At 48.3% G+C, this 18,671-nt stretch overlaps 1 annotated feature.

Annotated features, from left to right (window-relative positions):
• Positions 15,299 to 15,843: an enhancer, noted in NCBI's record as "H3K4me1 hESC enhancer chrX:39828711-39829255 (GRCh37/hg19 assembly coordinates)". NCBI's record gives its function as "activates a minimal SCP1, AML or CMV promoter by ChIP-STARR-seq in primed H9 embryonic stem cells {active_cell/tissue: H9 hESC(primed)}" and the evidence as "EXISTENCE:reporter gene assay evidence [ECO:0000049][PMID:30033119]".

Genomic DNA, 18,671 nt, shown 5'->3' on the forward strand with positions numbered 1-18,671 from the left:
TCAGAGACCTGCACTGCACCGGGGCAGGGCACTGAGGACAGGTTCAGTTGTGAGTTCAGAGGGAGCCACATTTCTTCACCCACTGGAAGAACTCAGCTTAAAACAAAGTGTGCCAGGAAAGGGCCCATTGGGGTCCCCTTAGCAGCCCCCACAAAGCCCTGGGAGCGCTGGACTGGGAAGCACGAGATGAAGGTTCAAATCTTACCACAGCTCGTAACTGGTTGTGTGACGTGGAGCAGGTCACTTGGAGCACACCTTTCTGAGCCTTCCTTTTCCAAATACAGAGCTTAGACTACTGGCTCCAAAAGTCTTATCGTTCTGGTGGATCATCAATTCACATTTATTCAATGTATGAATGAACAAATGAAGGAAGGAAGGAACTGAACCACCGAACAAATGAACAGCCTGAAATAGGGGTTCCCAGCCCAAGCCACCTCTGCCTTCCACCCAGCTCCGCACCGCACCCTTCACACCCTCTGCAACTCCCTGAAGGGAAAAGGAAAGCATTTGAAAAAGGCTTCCTACAAACGTGAATTCACAGTCACATTTTAAAAGCTCCAGCGCCAAAGCATCTCCCCAACCCCCCACTGCTTCGACCATTTACCTAAGGAGAAGCTCACCACCAGTTTCTCCGACTCCCTCATTCTGCCCTCAGCTTCCTGCGCTGGAGCCCCTGGGAATTCCGGCCCATAAGCTGCAGCCCCAAACCTTAGTGAAGAAACAAACGGGCTGCCCTCTCTCTCCTTGCACTTCACCAGTGGGTTCGTTTCAACGCCTGTGGGTGTATTTCAATGAGAACAACATGAAAACATGGGCGGATTCTTTTCTGTCTAAAAGAAAAAACCTGGACCAATAAGCTGAAGTAATAACAAAGCAGAATGTGGACATCTGCTCCCCGCCCTGAGCGACTCCCCACCTCGCATTTCCTGGGGCCTTGTCACACCCCCCAAGGCATGGATTGCCAAAGTCAAAATTAATTCCCCTACATTGACTGGGCATTGCAACCTGCTGATGTGTTGCTTGCGACTTATTTGTTCATTCATTAAACTAAAATGCAGTGAGCCCTTTCTAGGTGCAAGGCGCTGTGGAGGCTTCATTTTGAACAAGCCTTTTAGGAAGCCTGCGGTCTAATGGGAAGCCGAGACAAGCCCATTAATAACTGTGATACAGGAAGAAACGAGGCGAGGCATCAACCCAGGAAGTGCTGGGAAAGAATAAAAAGAACGTTTGTTTGTGTGGAGGTGGGGCTGGAAGTGCTGGTCAGGAAGGCTTCATGAAGGTGGTGGCGTTTCACCTGGGCAGTACAAGTCTGGGCAAGATTGCAACAAGCCTGACTGGAAGGAAAAGCACTCTGGGTACAGGATGCTGAGTGAGGAAAGGTCCAGAGGTGGGCAGATGCCAGAAGCAGGGTCCCAGCATCATCCACCTTTAGTGAGAACACGCAGAGGCAATGGCAGACAAGCCTAGCAAAGCGAACAGAAATAGTTCCCAGAGCAAGCAGAAAGTCAGGCTGAGGAGTCTGGAGTTTATTTGGTGGATAGAGGGGAACTACAGAAGGCTTCTTGGCCAGGGAGTATCTGTCGTTTGTCTCTTCTGAGATCCATTTCCTTCCCTTCTCTTGCTCTGCTTGGTGCAACAGGAAACTACATTTCCCAGGTTCCTTTGCAAGTGGCCTCTATTATGGTTCAGCCAATGGGGTACACTGGTGGGAGCCAGAGGGCAGGAAGAGGGAGAAATCAGGGTATTTCTCCCCATTCCCTTTGCCTTGGGCAGCATCTCTAGCATCATTTGCTTCTCCTGCATCTTCTGTGTGGTTCCAGCTCCCGTCAGTTGACTCCAGCTCCCACGTCCCCTTAGTGCTTCCTTTCCCCTTTGTCCTTCCAGCCCTAAGGGATGCTAGCTGCCATAGCTAACCTCTGGGTTATAGGGGACCTCGCTGTCCCCTATTTGGCTTTTCAGCTTCTCAAGCATCTGTGAAGCCAGTTTCCAGGATTCTATTCCTTATATTTTAATACCTGGAGTGGTTTCTCTTCTCTTGGCTAGACTCCCACTAATCCAGGGTAATTGGATACAATTTGGTTCCAGCAGGCTCATGCTGGCTGCAGAGGGCCCCATCTGACAGTTTTTGGGGTCTCCCAGGGGAAGGGTGAGCAATGCCTGAAGCAGCACACTGGCACGAGAATAGCCAAAAGAAGACAGTCACAGAGCCACCAAAGAGGTGATCCAACATTACCACTCAGGGATGGGGACACCAATGATGATGGTGATTTTCAGCTTGAATGCCCAGGAGAATGACTCGGCCATCAACAGAGGTGACACCACAGGGGAGAAACTGCACCGGACAAAATCTCGCTTTGTCATCCAGGCTGGAGTGCAGTGGCACGATCTCGGCTCACTGCAACCTCCACCTCCCAGGTTCAAACGATTCTCCTGCCTCAGCCTCCCAAGTAGATGGGATTACAGGTGCACACCACCATGCCTGGCTAATTTTTGTATTTTTAGTAGAGACGGGTTTTCTCCATGTTGGCCAAGCTGGTCTCGAACTGACCTCAAGTGATCCACCCCCCTCGGCCTTGCAAAGTACTGGGATTACAGGCATGAGCCGCCACGTCTGGCTTGGACTTTATTCTTTTTCTCCTTTTTTATTGCTTTTTTTCTTCTTCGTTAACTAATCCATGCACCCAACTATTGGGCTTTTTCTCACTGATTTTGGATTGAGGAGATTGAAGGAAGAGATCTCTAAAGGGAGAGAGCACCAGGAGACAGGAGCAGCAGAAGAAGACAGCTTCAGGCCAGTAGGAGGGGCTGAGCCATAGGCAAAGCCATGAAAGAAATGTGGGGATTGGGCACACAGGAACCTGGAGAAGGGCTATTATGCAAGAGGTCGAGAGCCCAGCACTGAGCAGGGGCCAAGGGGATGAAGGGAGGGGAGTGATACTGGGCACATCAGCTGTCAGGGGCCTGCCCAGAGCAGAATCAGGAGATCAATGGAGGAAGGAGTCAGACCCGGGGCAGTGAGCACAGACAGGTCTCAGACAAGAAGCCTTCCAGAGGCCGGGTGTTACGGTCCATACCTGTAATCCCAGCACTTTGGGAGGCCCAGGCAGGAGGATCTCCTGAGCTCAGGCATTCGAGACCAGCCTGGGCAACAAGGTGAAACTCTGTCTATACCAAAAATACCAAAAATTAACTGGGTGTGGTGGCACACGTCTGTAGTCCCAGCTACTCAGGAGACTGAGGCACAAGAATTGCTTGAACCCAGGAGGCGGAGGTTGCAGTAAGCCGATATCACACCACTGCACTCCAGCCTGGGCAACAGAGCAAGACTCTGTCTGAAAAAAAAAAACCAGAAAAAAAAGCCTTGCAGAGAAGAAAGGCAGGAAAAGACTTGCCCAGGGATGAGGTACATCTGAGACTACAGAAAGGAGCCCAATGAAAAGTAACAGCCCAAAAGCCCAAGGATGAGTGTGTTCATTCATTCATGTATTCATTCATTCATTCATTCACTCAACAAGCATTTACTGAGTGCCTCCATGTGCCAAGTACTGTTTTGAGCTCTGGGAATGGAGCAGTGAATGAAAGAGATGAAAAGCCCCTGACTGCCTAGAGCTTCTATTTCAATAAGGAGAAATAGACAATAAACAAGAACACATCAAATATGTCATATTGCAGGTGATGGTAATGGCTATGGGGAAACAAGAATGGGGTTGGGGGGTTGCAATTTAAATAGGTGGTTTGGGGGAGGCCTAATGGGAAGGAGACTTAAGCAAGCAAGCCATGAGGATTTCTGCAGGAAGGGCATGTCAGACGGGGGAACAGCCAGTGCAAGGGCCCTGAGGCAGGAATGTGCCTGGTGTGTTCTGGGAATGACAATGAGATCAAGTGGAGCCAGATGGGGCCCGGGGTGCAGGGTGACAGGATACGAGGTCAGAGAGGTAGAGGAGTCAGATCAGGGAAGGCCTTGTCAGAGTAGGGACTTGGGCTTTAATCTGAGGGAAATGGGGAGCCACGGGAGGGCTTGGAGCAGGAGAGTGATGTGATCTGACTGAGAGCAGTGACTGAGTTAGGGAGGTGAGTAATCTGAGGACCGGGAAGCTACAGCAGTGAGCTGCCTTCCTGTGGGAACCATTGTCCCAGAGGCCCAACTGGGGCACACATATTGGGAGAGGCATGGCTTCCTGAGAGCAGGCAGAGTGGGGACAGGGCCAAGGAGTACCTCAGGCCTTTGTCATGTCTGAGGCCCAGATATGTGAGTGCACTGGGATTTGCCAGCTCACAGTAGGAGCCTCCCATGCTATTAATAGTCCCTGGGTTCCACACCCACAATTCCATGGTACAAAGTATTTATGAGCCTCCCGAAGACTTCTCTCTTCCCTCAAAGCCCTGAACAGGGCTTTACTCCCCACCGCTGGTGTCCACCTGAGGGAGCAGGAACTATGAACCCTCTGAACTTTGTTCCCAGAAGCCCCTGCACTGAAGCCTGCCCTCATGCCCACCCTAGGGCTCTCCAGGCTGCTCACTGGCCTATCCAAGAGGCAGCCTGCAGACAGGGGCAACCTAGATGCACCACCCACAGCCTGCCTCTGCCCCAAGAGCCCTCTTCTCCCCCAAACCCACCAGCGTTTGTGGACCTCAACACTCCTATAGCACTCCTCACTCCTAAGATGGCCCATTTCTAGGAAAGCCGTGACTGTGGCTTCTACAAACCTTCAACCAGCAGCGGAACCCACAGGGCCAGGCCTTGCCTGGCTGTGTTTCATTCTAGAGCCTCAGCCTAGCGTCTTCCCTTCAGTCTCTTGGAGCAGCCACAAGAGTATATATCTCTGCACCTGTGAGCACACGCCTACTGGACCTCTTTTTTAGGAGAGTGGCTCCTCACAGCCTGAATCAGCAATTTACCCTCAGAACTCTGAGAATGACAGTAGTCCCTGGCAGGCACTCAACAGCCCTCATTGGCAGCCTTGTTGGAACTGGTGGCCATGTTAGAACTAACTGGTGGCCCTTTCACAAAGGGTCCATCCAAAAGCAGGCATTGAGATGTCATCACGGAGGACATGGAGCTCTTTGCAGAAACGCTGCTGCCACTGTATCTCCTCACAACCCCAAACTCGGTCTCAGGGAGTCTAGGTATATTCAGCTGGGTGCAAAAGGCACTGCCTTTGGCTTTAGAGTCTGTTCCTAAATCCTCCACAACAATAAAGTTTAGTCTCCCTGCTTCCCTTATGAAAGTCGACACTTTTGTACTCTACATAAAGTTGAATGTTAAAAATAATAGCTTTTGTGTTGGAGTATACACTTTCAATATTCATTTTCCACGCTTCAGGATAAAATATATGACCATTAAGTCACTACAATAAGTTGAAAAACAAGATTACTGCTTTCACATCTTGTGTGAGTTGCTAATAATCTTGCTGTTATCCTGACATTATGGTCAAAAGATATTGCTTTTAAAGTTATTGGGATGCAGTGTGCCCAACATGATGGGGTTTTTTTTGAAAATATACAGCAGGGAAAGATGGAGGAGGGGGAGTTTTGATTTTATTGGGGGGCGGGGGTGATGTCTTTTTAAATTTTTCATTACGGGGAATTTCAGACACATTCAGAAGTCCAGGGAATCGTATAAGGAACACTATGACCTCATCACCAGCTTCAACAACCTGCAACCTGGGGTCAATCTGGCCCTACCCTCACCCCACGTCCCAGGAGGCTGTGAAGTCAGCCCCCAACAGCACAGACTTCACCCAGACGGCACCCATTTGGCTTAATAACGTAGAGGATTATTGTTGAGGGGTAAGATCCTTGTTCCTAGGCTTCTCTCTGTACTTGGGTGAAACAGAGATGAACTTCATCCTGGCCGATCCCCGGGAAGCCTGGGACGTTGCTTCCTAGACCTTCGTGCTGCCTGAACCTTTGCTGCAGCGGCTGGAACAGAAGACGTGTCTGCAGCTTAATGAGGGTCCGAGAGGGGAACTGGGAGGGAGACTGCATGCAAGGCCTTGCTGCCAGGGCCGCCCTCCATCCCTGCTGCCTGTGGGAAAAACACTCCATCTGCAAGAAATGACCTTTTGAAAAAAGCTCATCTGACCCCTTCATTTAATATCAGCTTAATATTATTTATGGGACTTTCCACGCCCCTCAAGAGCAAGGCCAGAGAGGCCTGGTGTGCTCCAGCTCTGACAGTCAGTCCCCCACACCACCCTTCCACCTTCATCCCTCCCCTCCGTGCCTCCCACTCCAACACACATTGAACAGGTCGCTCTGGGCACCTAGTGGAGGCGCCTTGGCTGGGTCCCATGGGCCAGGTTCCAGGACATTCACATTTGCTGAACTCCCCATCCAGAATACACAAATCCCTTCCCACTAACTGTATACCTCCTGGTCCAACAAAGCTCAGCTCCAGTCACCTCCTCCAGGAATCCTTTACTGGGCTCCCAAAAAAAGAACCAGGCCCACTCTCTGTGCTCACAGAGCACCCAATATTGCTTGTCACTGAACCTTTTTTTCCAACAAATATTTACTGAGCAGCTACTATGTTTCAGGTACTATTCTAGCCACTAGTGATGTAACAGTGTCAGGAAAAACTGTAAATAACTGTGTTCCCTCAAGGAACTTCTACTCCAGTTGTGAAGACAGAAAATAAGATACTCATACAACAAATAAGATAAGCTGGGGTGGTGGCTCACACCTGTAACCCAGGGGACTCAGGAGGCTGAGGCAGGAGGATCGCTTGAGGCCAGGAGTTTAGGACCAGCCTGGGCAACATAGTGAGACACCTCCCCACTCCACATCTAAAAAGGAAAAAATAATAACCATACCAAGTGTCAACAGGATATGGAGTAACTATAACTTTCCTACACTGCTGATGGAGGTGGAAACTCTCCAAGAAGGAAATGCCATTCGAGGTCAGGTAAATAGTCCAGTGTTGGCCGTGCACGGTGGCTCATGCCTGTAATCCCAGCACTTTGGGAGGCAAAGGTGGGCAGATCTCCTGAGGTCAAGAGTTCGCGACCAGCCTGGCCAACATGGTGAAAACCTGTCTTTACTAAAAATACAAAAAGTAGCCGGACATGGTGGTGCATACCAGTACTCCCAGCTACTAGGGAGGCTGAGGCAGGAGTATCGCTTGAACCCGGGAGGTGGAGGTTGCAGTGAGCCAAGATCGCACCACTGCACTCCAGCCTGGGCGACAGAGCGAGACTCCGTCTCAGAAAATAAATAAATAAATAAATAAATAGTCAAGTGTTGCTTCTCTCATGAGGTCCCCAGGAGACACTGACTGTTAGTGTTAGCCTCCCGGGACCTCTACCTCTGATCGTCTGCACACCTAGGCCAGCCCATCAGTGGCGCTAAGCAGTCTGCATTTCCCTTACCTTCTCACCTTCTTCACTCCCTCTCCCTTTCCTCTTTTCTCACCTGTAGCCCAGGTGAGCAACTGCTTTCTGCCTTCATCTTACTGCCTCATTGCTCACCTGAGCTATGACGTCAGCCTCCCCACAAGTCTGCCTTCCTCTACCCTTCCCACACAACCATTCTCCATACAGTTGCCTAAGAGATTTTTACAAAGAAACTTTTTTTTTTTGTTTGAGACAGAGCCTGGCTCTGTCACCCAGGCTGAAGTGCAATGGTGCAATCTTAGCTCACTGCAACCTCCACCTCCCAGGCTCAAAAGATCTTCCCACCTCAGCCTCCCCAGTAGCTGGAACTACAGGCACACGCTACCATGCCCAACTAATTTTCGTATTTTTTGTAGAGCTAGGTTTCTCCACATTGCCCAGGCTGGTCTCAAACTCCTGAGCTTAACCAATCCACCCACCTCGGCCTCCCAAAGTGCTAGGATTACAGGTATAAGCCACTGCTCCTGGCCAAGAAACTTCTAATTGAAGCAAAATGTACATAAAGAAAAGTATACATGTCACAAGTGTACAGCTTGATGACATTTCACAAAGTGAATTTAAACCCGTGTAACCAGCATTCAAATCAAGAAGCAAAGGAGGCTGAGGTTTGAGTCCAGAAGTTGGAGTCTGCATTGAACTATGACTCTGTCACTGCACCCCAGCCTGGGCAACAAGAGTGACACACTGTCTCTAAAAGAAGAAGAAAAAAAAGAAGCAAGGGAGCCAGACCAGCACTCCAGAAATCCGCTGGGGCCCCTTCTGGAGACTCCTGTATAGCCAAGGATAGCCATTATTCAACCTTCCAATATCATAAATTAGTTTTGCCTGGTTTTGAACTTTGTATCAATGGAATCATACAGCATACAGTATATGCTTGTCTTAGTCTATTCCAGCTGTTATTAAAAAATGACATACATTGAGTAATTTATAAACAACAAAAGTGTATTGCTCACAGTTCTGGGGGCTAGGAAGTCCAAGAACAAGGCAGATTCTGTGTCTGGTGAGGGCTCATTCTCAGCTTCATAGATGATGCCTTCTCCCTGCATCTTCACATGGCAGAAGGAGTGAGGGAATTCTCAGGGGCCTCTTTTAAAAGGGCACCAATCCCATTCATTAAGGCAGAGCCCTCATGACCTAATCACCTCCCAAGGGTCCCACCTCCTAATACCATCATATTTGGGATTAAGCTTCAACATATGAATTAATGAGGGTGACACAAACATTCAGCCCATAGGAGTGCTCCTTTGTCTCTGGCTTCTTTTGCTCAACATGATGTTTCTGAAAGTTTCCATGTTGTCCTGAGGGGCAAAGTTTGCTCATTTTCATTGTCATTATTATTCTATTGTGTTAATATGCCACATGATTCATTGATTCAATCTGTTACTGATAGCAAGCTGTGTAGTTTTCATGTTTTTTGTTTGTGTCGCAAGTAGTGCTATAATCATATATGGACACTGAAGGAAGCTGTCTCAAGGAGGGCTATGATTTGAATGTTTGTCCCCTCCAAAACTCATGCTGAAATTTAACTGCAATTGTAACAGTATTAAGAGGAAGGACCTTTAAGACAAGATCAGATCATAAGGGCTTCATCCTCATTAATGGATTAATGCCAAGATAAAAAGGGCTTTGGGAATGGGTTTGCCCCCTCCCTTCCACTCTTCTGCCTTGTGAAGAATAGTGTTCCTCCCCTCCGGAGGATGCAGCATTCAAAATGCCATCTTGGAAGTGGAGACTGGGCCCTTACCAGACATCAAACTTGATGGTGCCTTGATCTTGGACTTCCCAGTCTCCAGAACTGTAAGCCAATAAACTCCTGTTATTCATAAATTACCCGGTCTGTAGTATTCCATTGTAGCATCAAAAACAAAGACAAGGTGCAAGGTGACATGAACAAAAAACAAAACAGCCAAGAGATTGGCAGATAAATGGAGTTGGAGCCCTGATCACACCACACCTGAAGCTCACCCTACTGCTGGGTTTTTTAGTTACTTGAACTTTTACATCCCCTTTATTTTATTGTTTAAGCCAGGCTGAGCTGGATTTTCTGTCACTTGCAGTTGAAATCATTCTAGTTGGTACAGAGTGTGGGAAGGAAAGAGCCTCAAGGAAGTATAAGAAAAGCATATATAGGATGAGAAAAAAATTAGAAGTCTTGGGTCAAGGTAAATAGGAAAGAGGCTATAAGGGTTTGTTCCAAGGCCAGAGCACCTCTAGAAAGGGTGGTCATTTCAATTACAGTTTAGTAAATAGTCACCTCCTCTCCCTCCCTTTGTGGGGCAGGGTATACTGTCCTTCCCCATTGATGTTGTGCCAGACAATGTGGCATAGTTTGTCCAATGAGATGTCAGAAGACTCTAAGGTTAGCAAAGGCTTAAATGTGCTGGTGCAGCTGGGCTTGGCCTCTGATGTTTCTGTCATCAGCATAAAGAAAGTGCCCTAGGTGGTCCAATGGTCTTGTAAGAATGAGAGACACAAGGAACAGACCTGAATCCAACTCACAACCTGGAGCCAAAGCTAGCTGACCAGCAGATGCACAAGTATAATTAAATGCTTGGGGTCATATGCCACAGATTCTGGAGGTGGTTTGTTACACAGGATGATGACAACAATAGCTGACTGATACATAAGGAAAGAGGAAGGATCAATATGACCAGGGGAAATTCGCCTAGGAGAGTGGATTTTCTTGGTAGGGCTGCAAAACCAAGTACCACAAGCAGAGTGGTACACAATAGAAATTGTGGGGTGGTAAGCAATGGACATGTATTTTCTCATAGTTCTGGCAGCTAGAAGTCCAAGATCAAGGTGTCAGTAGGGTTGGTTCCTTCTGAGGGCTGTGAGGGAAGGATCTGTTCCACACCTCTCTCCTTGGCTTTAGGTGGCTATCTTCTCCCTATGTCTCTTAACATCATCTTCTCTCTATGCATGTCTGTATCCAAATTTTCCCTTCTTATAAGGACACCAGCTATATTGGATTAGGGCCCACACTAACAACCTCATTTTCACTTGATCACCTCTGTACAGACCCTGTTTCCAAATAAGGTCACATTCTGAGGTATTAGGGGTTAGGACTCCAACATATGAATTTTGGAGAGACACAATTCAGCCCATGTCAGTGAGCATGTTTATGATCACGGCAAGGACACCAACCCCGATAATAAGGAAAATTCTCTCTGCTACCTCTGGGTCTCATGCCAAGCATTGGTGTCCTGCTCCATATACTAGTGTCCACCACTGGGTTGATGTAGTGGGTTCTCCACTGCATGGAAGAAGGCAGTATAGAAAGGGTTTACAGTCAAACAGTCCTGCACTCAAAACCCAACTCTACAACTAACTAGCTGTCTGACCTTGATTATTGGAACCTTCTGAGCCCCGGTTTCCTTATCTATGAAATAGACTTGCTAATTCTATCCCATTGAATTGTCCTAAGGAAAAAATTGCGTGTGTCCTTTAGATGAACATTTGGTCAGTGACAGAAAACACAACAGACCTTCGCTTAAACAAGTAAAGGATTTGTTTCCTTCATACAAAAAGAAATGAAGAGGAGGGTGATCTAAGACTAGTATGGCAGCCCAACAATATCTCTAAAGACCAGATTTCTTCTCTCTTCCTTCTCTAGCATCCTCAACATATGGCTTTTGTCCTCATGAATACAATATAGCTGCTGCACCTCCTGGCATCAAGTCTGCATTCCAGACAGGATGATAGGGGGAGGGGAAAGAATAAGGAGCTAAAGGGGCATGCCAGCTGAGATGGCCCTTTGTCAAAGGTTCCTCAAAAAGCCTGTCCTGCAGCTTTTGCTTATAACCAATTGGCTGGATCTGGGTCACGTGGGCACCACAAGCTGCAAGGGAGTCTGGGAGATTGCATGTTTGTGCTTTCCAGCCTCTAAAATAGAAGAGCACAAGGGAGAAGCCAGTGTGTACAGCTAGTCCACAGTGTCTGCCATGTCAGATAGGCCAAAAATGCAAGCATAGCACCAATACATACAGGTTTTTAAATAAATGTTTGCTGAAGCTTATTTTGTGGAATAAAACATCTGGATGAAGTATGGGATGCCATGTGATCCACACCCCCTTATTCACTGTAATACCTCCCAACCCTATACCAAATTCACTGTAATAGCTCCAAACCCTATACCAAAATTTCCCCATCACCAGTTAGATTAGAGAGTTGCAGAGACAAGTGTGAACATCCTTGAATCTGATTCTAACTCCTCCTCTCCTTCAAGCCTGGGATTACCAGCAGAGGTTCTGGGTGCTACAAAAGGCATTGCAAAACCCTGTCCCAGAGTCTAGAGACAGCATCCAAAATCTACAATTGCCAGCCAAGAGCCGGGGACATTTGAAGGTGCTGGGCTGTCGTAGAAGGGACCCCAGCCACAGAAAACCAGCTGGCATCTCTGAACACCCTTCCAGACCACAGCTGTTGGCTGACCTGACACTCAGACCCACAGAAAGGGCACAGACCCCAACCAGAAGGGGTTGGCTCTCAGAACAGGGCTTCCCAACCTTCTCATACCCAAAGCCCACTTTTTATAAGGTCCAAAAATTCCCCTCCTTGCTGCACTTTTAGTATATGCTAAGAACAGTACATGGTGACATAAAGCAACTCAGAATGCTGGACGACCTGGTAATGACATATTTTACTCATCACAGCAGCACTATAGACATTTAGAAAATGGTCGTATTTCTACATCCAGGACATAATATTTATTCAGCCTACATACATACAGAGTGCCTAGCACAGATATGGATTTGAACACCCCTTGCTCTAAGCAGACAGCCTAGGCATCGCGTAACAGAAGTCAGCTGCCAGGGAGTCCCAGGAGGCGTGGGAGGAAGAAGGCAGCTCATAAGACGAACTCAGCTTGCTCTCAGAGAGAAGCCAATGTGTGTTGGGAGGCTGGAGGCTGCAGTGAGCCCTCGTGTTGGAGAAAATGTCCTCCAAAAGCCCGCTCGGGAGAGGTGTGAGATTGCACTTAATATGTCAATAAAGGTCAGAGACCAAATAATGAGACTGTGGCACACTGCATATTGTAGCTCCTTGATTAATGAACGCTACCTTCTCAAAAATGTTCTGTGCTCACCCCCGTGCCTTTTACCTTTCCGGATTGGTGGGGTATCCTGGGGAAAGTCAACTCTTCCAAACTGTAGTTTGAGGAGATGACTCTGGGAAAGACAGCATGCCTGCGGCCGCCACCTCTGCTGTCTATGCTGTGGAGGCCAGGATTGCCTTTGTGTCCCTCCTCTCTGAGTTGAGTCATTTCCCAGGCTTACAGCTCAGGCAAGCTTCCCTGCTACAGGGGGCTTCTTCCCCTTCTACTCAAATCAGCTGGGGCCAAGTTGGCAAGGAAGAACCAGGTAACTATGAGGTGGCAAAAAAATAAAAAATAAAAAATAAAAAAAACACCCAGGTACACACCCACTAGCCACCGAGAAGCAACCTTGCATTTTTTTTGTTTTCTTTTTTTTTTTGAGACACAGTCCCGCTCTGTCACCCAGGCTGGAGTGCAATGGCGGGATCTCAGCTCACTGCAATCTCCGCCTCCAAGGTTCAAGTGATTCTCCTGCCTCGGCCTCCTGAGAACCTGGGATTACAGGCACACACCACCATGCCCGGCTAATTTTTGTATTTTTAGTAGAGACGGGTTTTTGCCATGTTGGCCAGGCTGGTCTTGAACTCTTGACCTCAGGTGATCCACCCGCCTCAGCCTTCCAAAGTGCTGGGATTACAGGCGTGAGCCACCGTGCCCAGCCCACCTTGCATGTTTAAATGCAGCTGGGTCTCCAGACACAAGAGCCTCCCTTCACCTCCTGTCCTCAACCCTGATCCAGGCCTAACAGGTCTTTCTGCTTCTAGTCTTCCTTGTCCTTCCGCACACTGTTCTCCTGCAGTTATTTGAAATGTACAACTCATCACCTCACTCCTGGCTTAAAACCCTAGCCTGGAAAGCCCTTCCCATAGTGCTCATCTAGTTAACCCCTTCTTACCCTTCCAATTTCAATGCAAATATGGCTTCTGCAGGACAGACTTCTTAAGCAGATGCCTCAGACCAACACCTCAGACTGAGTCAGGGCCTTTACACCGTCTTAGCTATCCCTCCCCCACCCAACCTCCCGTGTCATGGCCTCATGGCAGATGGCAAATTTCTACACTCCTAGGTCGCCTAATGACTGTCTTCCTGAGGCTGTCAGCTCTGCGAGGCCAGGCACGGGCTCTATAACCCCAGTGTCAATGAATGCCTCCTATATGGTTGGCACTCAATACATATTTATTGAAGGGATAAAAGTAGAAAGAAAAAGACATTCATTTTCTTTTTTTGTTGTTGTTGTTGTCTTAGACAGGGTCTCACTCCATCACCCAGGGTGGAGTGCAGTGGTGCAATATCAGCTCACTGCAACCTCTGCCTCCCAGGGCTCAATTGATCCTCCCACCTCAGCCACCTGGGGCTACAGGAGTGCATCACCACTCATGGCTAACTTTTGTATTTTTTGTAGAGATGGGGTTTCGCCATGTTCCCTGGGCTGGTCTCGGACTCTGGACTCAAACGATCCTCCTGTCTCGGCCTCTCAAAGTGCTGGGATTACAGACGTAAGCCACTGCTCCCAGACCCAATATGTTCGTTTTCAATTGCTTTTTCCTAATTTCAGAAAGTAATGTGTTCCTGGCCGGGGGCAGTGGCTCACAACTGTAATCCCAGCACTTTGGGAGGCTGAGGTGGGTGGATCACTTGCGTTCAGGAGTTCGAGACCAGCCTGGACAACATGGTGAAACCCCGTCTCTACTAAAAATACAAAAAAATTAGCTGGGCAGGGTGGCACATGCCCGTAATCCTAGCTACTCAGGAAGCTGATGCAGGAGAACCGCTTGAACCCGGGAGGCAGAGGTTGCAGTGAGCCGAGATCACACTGCTGCAGTCCAGCAGGGGCGATAGAGCAAGACTCCGTCTCAAGAAAAGAAAAGAGAAGAGAAGAGAAGAGAAGAGAAGAGAAGAGAAGAGAAGAGAAGAGAAGAGAAAAGAAAAGAGAAAAGAAAAGGAAAAAGAAAAGAAAATCAACCACATGTCTAGAGATGAACACTGATAACAATTTTATGTGTCTCCTTTCATCCTTTCTCTACATACTTTTTGTTTTATAAAACTGAGATTCTATTGAATATGTAGTACAGAGCATTATAGAACAATTATTTCCCAAAAACACGAGTGTACCATTCCCTCTATTCTTTTTTCTGTCACTTTTTTTTTTAAGATTTAACAATAGCACGTGGCCACTGTAGAAAATTTGGAAATACCAAAAAAAAAGGCATAAAAAAGAAACATAAATTACCTATAATTGAACGCTAAGGATTTTCTACGGGTAAAGTAGCCCTGTGTTTCCTTTTAGTACTTTTTTCTGTGCACAAATTTTGCTGCATTTATTTCTGATAAAATCACAACAGTAAATTTCCAGGTGATCCTCGCCCAGAAAGGGAAAAAGGTGTTTCTTCTCCAAGCTGCTTAATGTGAAGGATGTCCTCTGGGGTGAGTGGGCCACTTTAGGGCCCTGGTGGGAGTGGCTTGCTCTGCCTCAGCCTCCACCTTCACTCGCCTCTGGCCCCAGGGCCTTTTGTGTGTCCCAGGCCTCCCGTGAAGCCATCAAGGCCTGGAGTGCTTTTGTAACCTGATCACCTTCAACCCTAACCATCCCTGCAGGTTTTCTTAACAAGACCAAATTTATGAGTCCCACAGGGAACCCAAGCCGCCAGCCTCCCCCAGCCCGGAGCCCACCCACCGCCGCTCCCAAAGCCACAGGGCATTTACAAGGGGGTCGGGTGGGTTTTGATGAAACTGAAGCAGCCCCTGGTGTCAGGTCGGAAGCCCCACCTCTCTGAGTTCTGGGTTCACAAGACACAGTCATAAACAGGAAGCATTTCCACCGCGCCTAGCGGGAAGGCAGGCGGGGCTGCTGGATGGATTCAAGTCTGAAAAATAAAGAGGGGCTGGGTAGGTGCTTGAGGCCACCTCAGTCACAGAGCTCTCGCCCTGCAGGGGGTTCCAGCTGTCATTTAGATGGACTCGGCAGTTAGGTGACGTCAGGGCCGTTATGATGTTCAGCTCAGTTAGCAGGCAAAGAACAGGGCAGGCTGACAGCCCCTATCCATCCCTGGGGTGTGGGGATAGCTAGGCATTGTGGGCATCCAGATATGTTGGGAGTGAGGGTAACCCCAACCCCCAAAGCCCTGACTGAGTCTTCAATGGCAGGTACCTGGCTCCCAGCCTAGAGAGAAGGGGAAAGGCCAATGGCACCATGCCAATACCAAGAAAGGCTGTCCCAAAGTCAAGCCTCCAGAAAAAGTCTTCCTGGAGTAACAAAACACAGGAAAAATGAATTTCCCGGTCCAGCCCGACAGTTCCTAGAACTACGCCTCTCCGGAAGTAATGCTTCCGGGAGGGCTCTGCTCACACCCACCAAGGGCCAGGCAAGTCTTGTAGGCTGAAGTGAAGATGGGCATCACAGGGCGAGCTGGCAGGGACCCCTTCTGAAGGGAACTTCCCACAATGGACCGTCGGACTCAAGTTCTACCACCGCCTCTGGTCTAATTCCATCCAATCAGAATGATCCAGGTTTGCTATCGGCGCCTTCCTGAAACTACTCAGAGCGCAGAAATCAGAGAATCAGAACTGCAAATGACTTTAAGCATGGCTAGGCTGGTGTTTCCTGAAGCGTGTATTGTGAGATCCAGTCGTATGAACAAAGGCATTCCTTGGTCAGGAAACTTTGGGAAACACTTCGTGGTAGAGCACCTTGATGTCCCCAATTCTTTACCCCTCCCGGAATCCACGCCCTTTGCCACAGAACTTTGCAATGCACTCCTGTCGTGGGCGGGGTGACCTGCTCCACCCCTTGACACTGCCTTGTGATTTGACCAACAGGATGCAAACAAGCATGAGGGAAGCAGAGGCTTGCAGTGAGCTGGGACTCTAGGACTGGTTCTCTTGAGCGTCTGCCATCAACAGGACTGCACGCCAAGGTGGCCTGCTGGAGGCTGATAGACAGGTGGAACAGAGCAGACCTGCCCTAGTCATCCCAACCAGAACCAACTGAGATGGACCTCCGGCCACATGAGCATACCTCGCCAAGAGCTGTAGAGCTGCCCACACAAACCCCAGGTGACTCCAGACACAGGAGCACTAATTATGCATTGTTGAAGGTCCTGCCATTTGTGGTTGTTTTGCAGCATTGTTGAAGCAAAAGACAACTGAGACAACACTGCATACCATTATCTTCCTTGAGGAGAGTCACAATCCACATGAGCATATTAAAGGTCCTGAGAAGACCTGTAGTAGAGAAACCTGTTCAACTCTGCTCAACCCAGCATTTCCCAAACCGATTTGCTCTCGGAACCCTCTTTTCCCTAGTAATGCCTTAAAGAAGTAGTTAGTGTTCAGATGAATGCGCAGCAGGGAACACTAATGAAGACCCACCCTTCATTTTATAAGTGAGGATACAAGACCCAGAAAGGGAGCTGTGGTGGCTTCTGGGCCACAATTTCTTTTCCTTGGTGATGTTGCCATTTGCTCTAAGCAACATGGCTATCTCCGTTTACTGTATTGAGTTTTGAACCACACAACTTTGCATTTGACTATTTGCCATATGGTATCTTCTAATTCAACAAGAACTTTTTATTGAGTACCTACTGTGCTATGCAAGGAACTGTGCTGGGCACCAGGGACACCAGGAGAAAACATCATACTTACCCTCCAGCAGCTCACAGTCTAGTGGCAGAGGAAGGCAAAGAAAAAGATGGTGACAATCTAACATGAGAAGCGCTGTGATGGGAAGCTTTGGATGGTGTGGGGCACAAAGGATGGGGAGGTTACGCATATCAGAGAAAGCTTCATGGAGGAGGCAACATCTGAACTGCGTCGTGAAGAATGAGTAGGAGTCACCTACATGAGAAGGATGGGATAGGAGGAGACAGGGTAAGGTGGAGCCATGGGGGAAGATGCTGGAGGCATTGGGAGTAAAAGCTTAAGTGAGCAGAGCTGTTAGGGATCAGGGGTCAGTTGCAGAGAATAAAATCCACTCCAGCTAGTTGAAATAGACAGGGATTCCTTGTGGGGTATTAAGGGGATAACAGGATTATTTGGAGAGCTAAAGAGGCCCACATGATGCTGAAAGTCCCCCACAGCCACACCCACAGAACTGAGCTGCCAGCACCAGGGAGCCCTGACACAATTGGAAGCCACCCCCGCCAGCTTGAGAACCATGTGGGCTCCGTGATGACCCATAGTAGCAAAGTGTGATCCTCTCTCTCTCTTTAACTGGGGTCCAAACTCCAGTTTCACACAAAACATCTGATCAGCTGAACCTCCTTATACCTGGAACCCTAGCTGCAAGGGAGTCTGGGAAATGTGTGATTCAGCCATCTACAAGAGGTTGAAATGGATGCCTAACATCAAGCTGTTGTATCTTTCTCAAAAGCACATTCTAAGGAATTTAGGGCTTATCTTCATAGAAATATTCTCACTCCTTAGGGTTTCTTTTTCCTGTCTCCCTCATGATGCCTCTCCCAACTTCTGGGCATGCCATAGGCACTCATTAAAGGCCTCCAGAAAGCCTGAGCTTATTAACTGGCCTCCTCACTACTTGATCTCTGGGGTGGGCAATTATCAGGAGGAATAAAGACAAACTTTTTTTTTTTTGGTCTTGCATGGAATAAATTGCTGCTTTCTTGAACACACAGAAGGCTGTATTATTACAAAGCTGTTCTATACTATTACTGAGAACAATTATTCAGAAGCCAGAAGCCCAGAGCTGACTAGGGTGTAGGGTATATCCTCGGAGGAGAAATTCCAAAAACCATTACTCATTAACTGTTGAGCTTGTGAAAATAACCTTTTCCTTCCCCGTTCGTGGCTCTCCACCCCAAGGAAGGACTCACCCCTCCATGGTCATGCTGCATGGGAGAGTTCAGGCTGGAAGGCGGTAATCTCTATTCAGAGCCCAAACCTGACAGGCAGTTCCCGGATGCGCTCCACAGAGGAGGACTCTGGGACTAAAGCTTTGGCTTGGGAATACTGAACAGTTGTTTTTCCAGAGAACTCCCATGAGCATTCCTAATGAGTGAATCCCCATCTGCCCAGGCCTTCCTGGCAGTGATGGGTCAGATGGAATGACGCCTTCATCACTGTCCAACCAAACCACCCTCACTCTGCCCTGGTATCAAGAAGGCAGCACCCCTGGAATCAGACATCTGTCCAAACCCCACAGGAGGCAGGGAAAGCCTAATTAATTA

Source organism: Homo sapiens, chromosome X (genome assembly GCF_000001405.40).
Source record: "Homo sapiens chromosome X, GRCh38.p14 Primary Assembly".
Taxonomy (NCBI): Eukaryota; Metazoa; Chordata; class Mammalia; order Primates; family Hominidae; genus Homo; species Homo sapiens.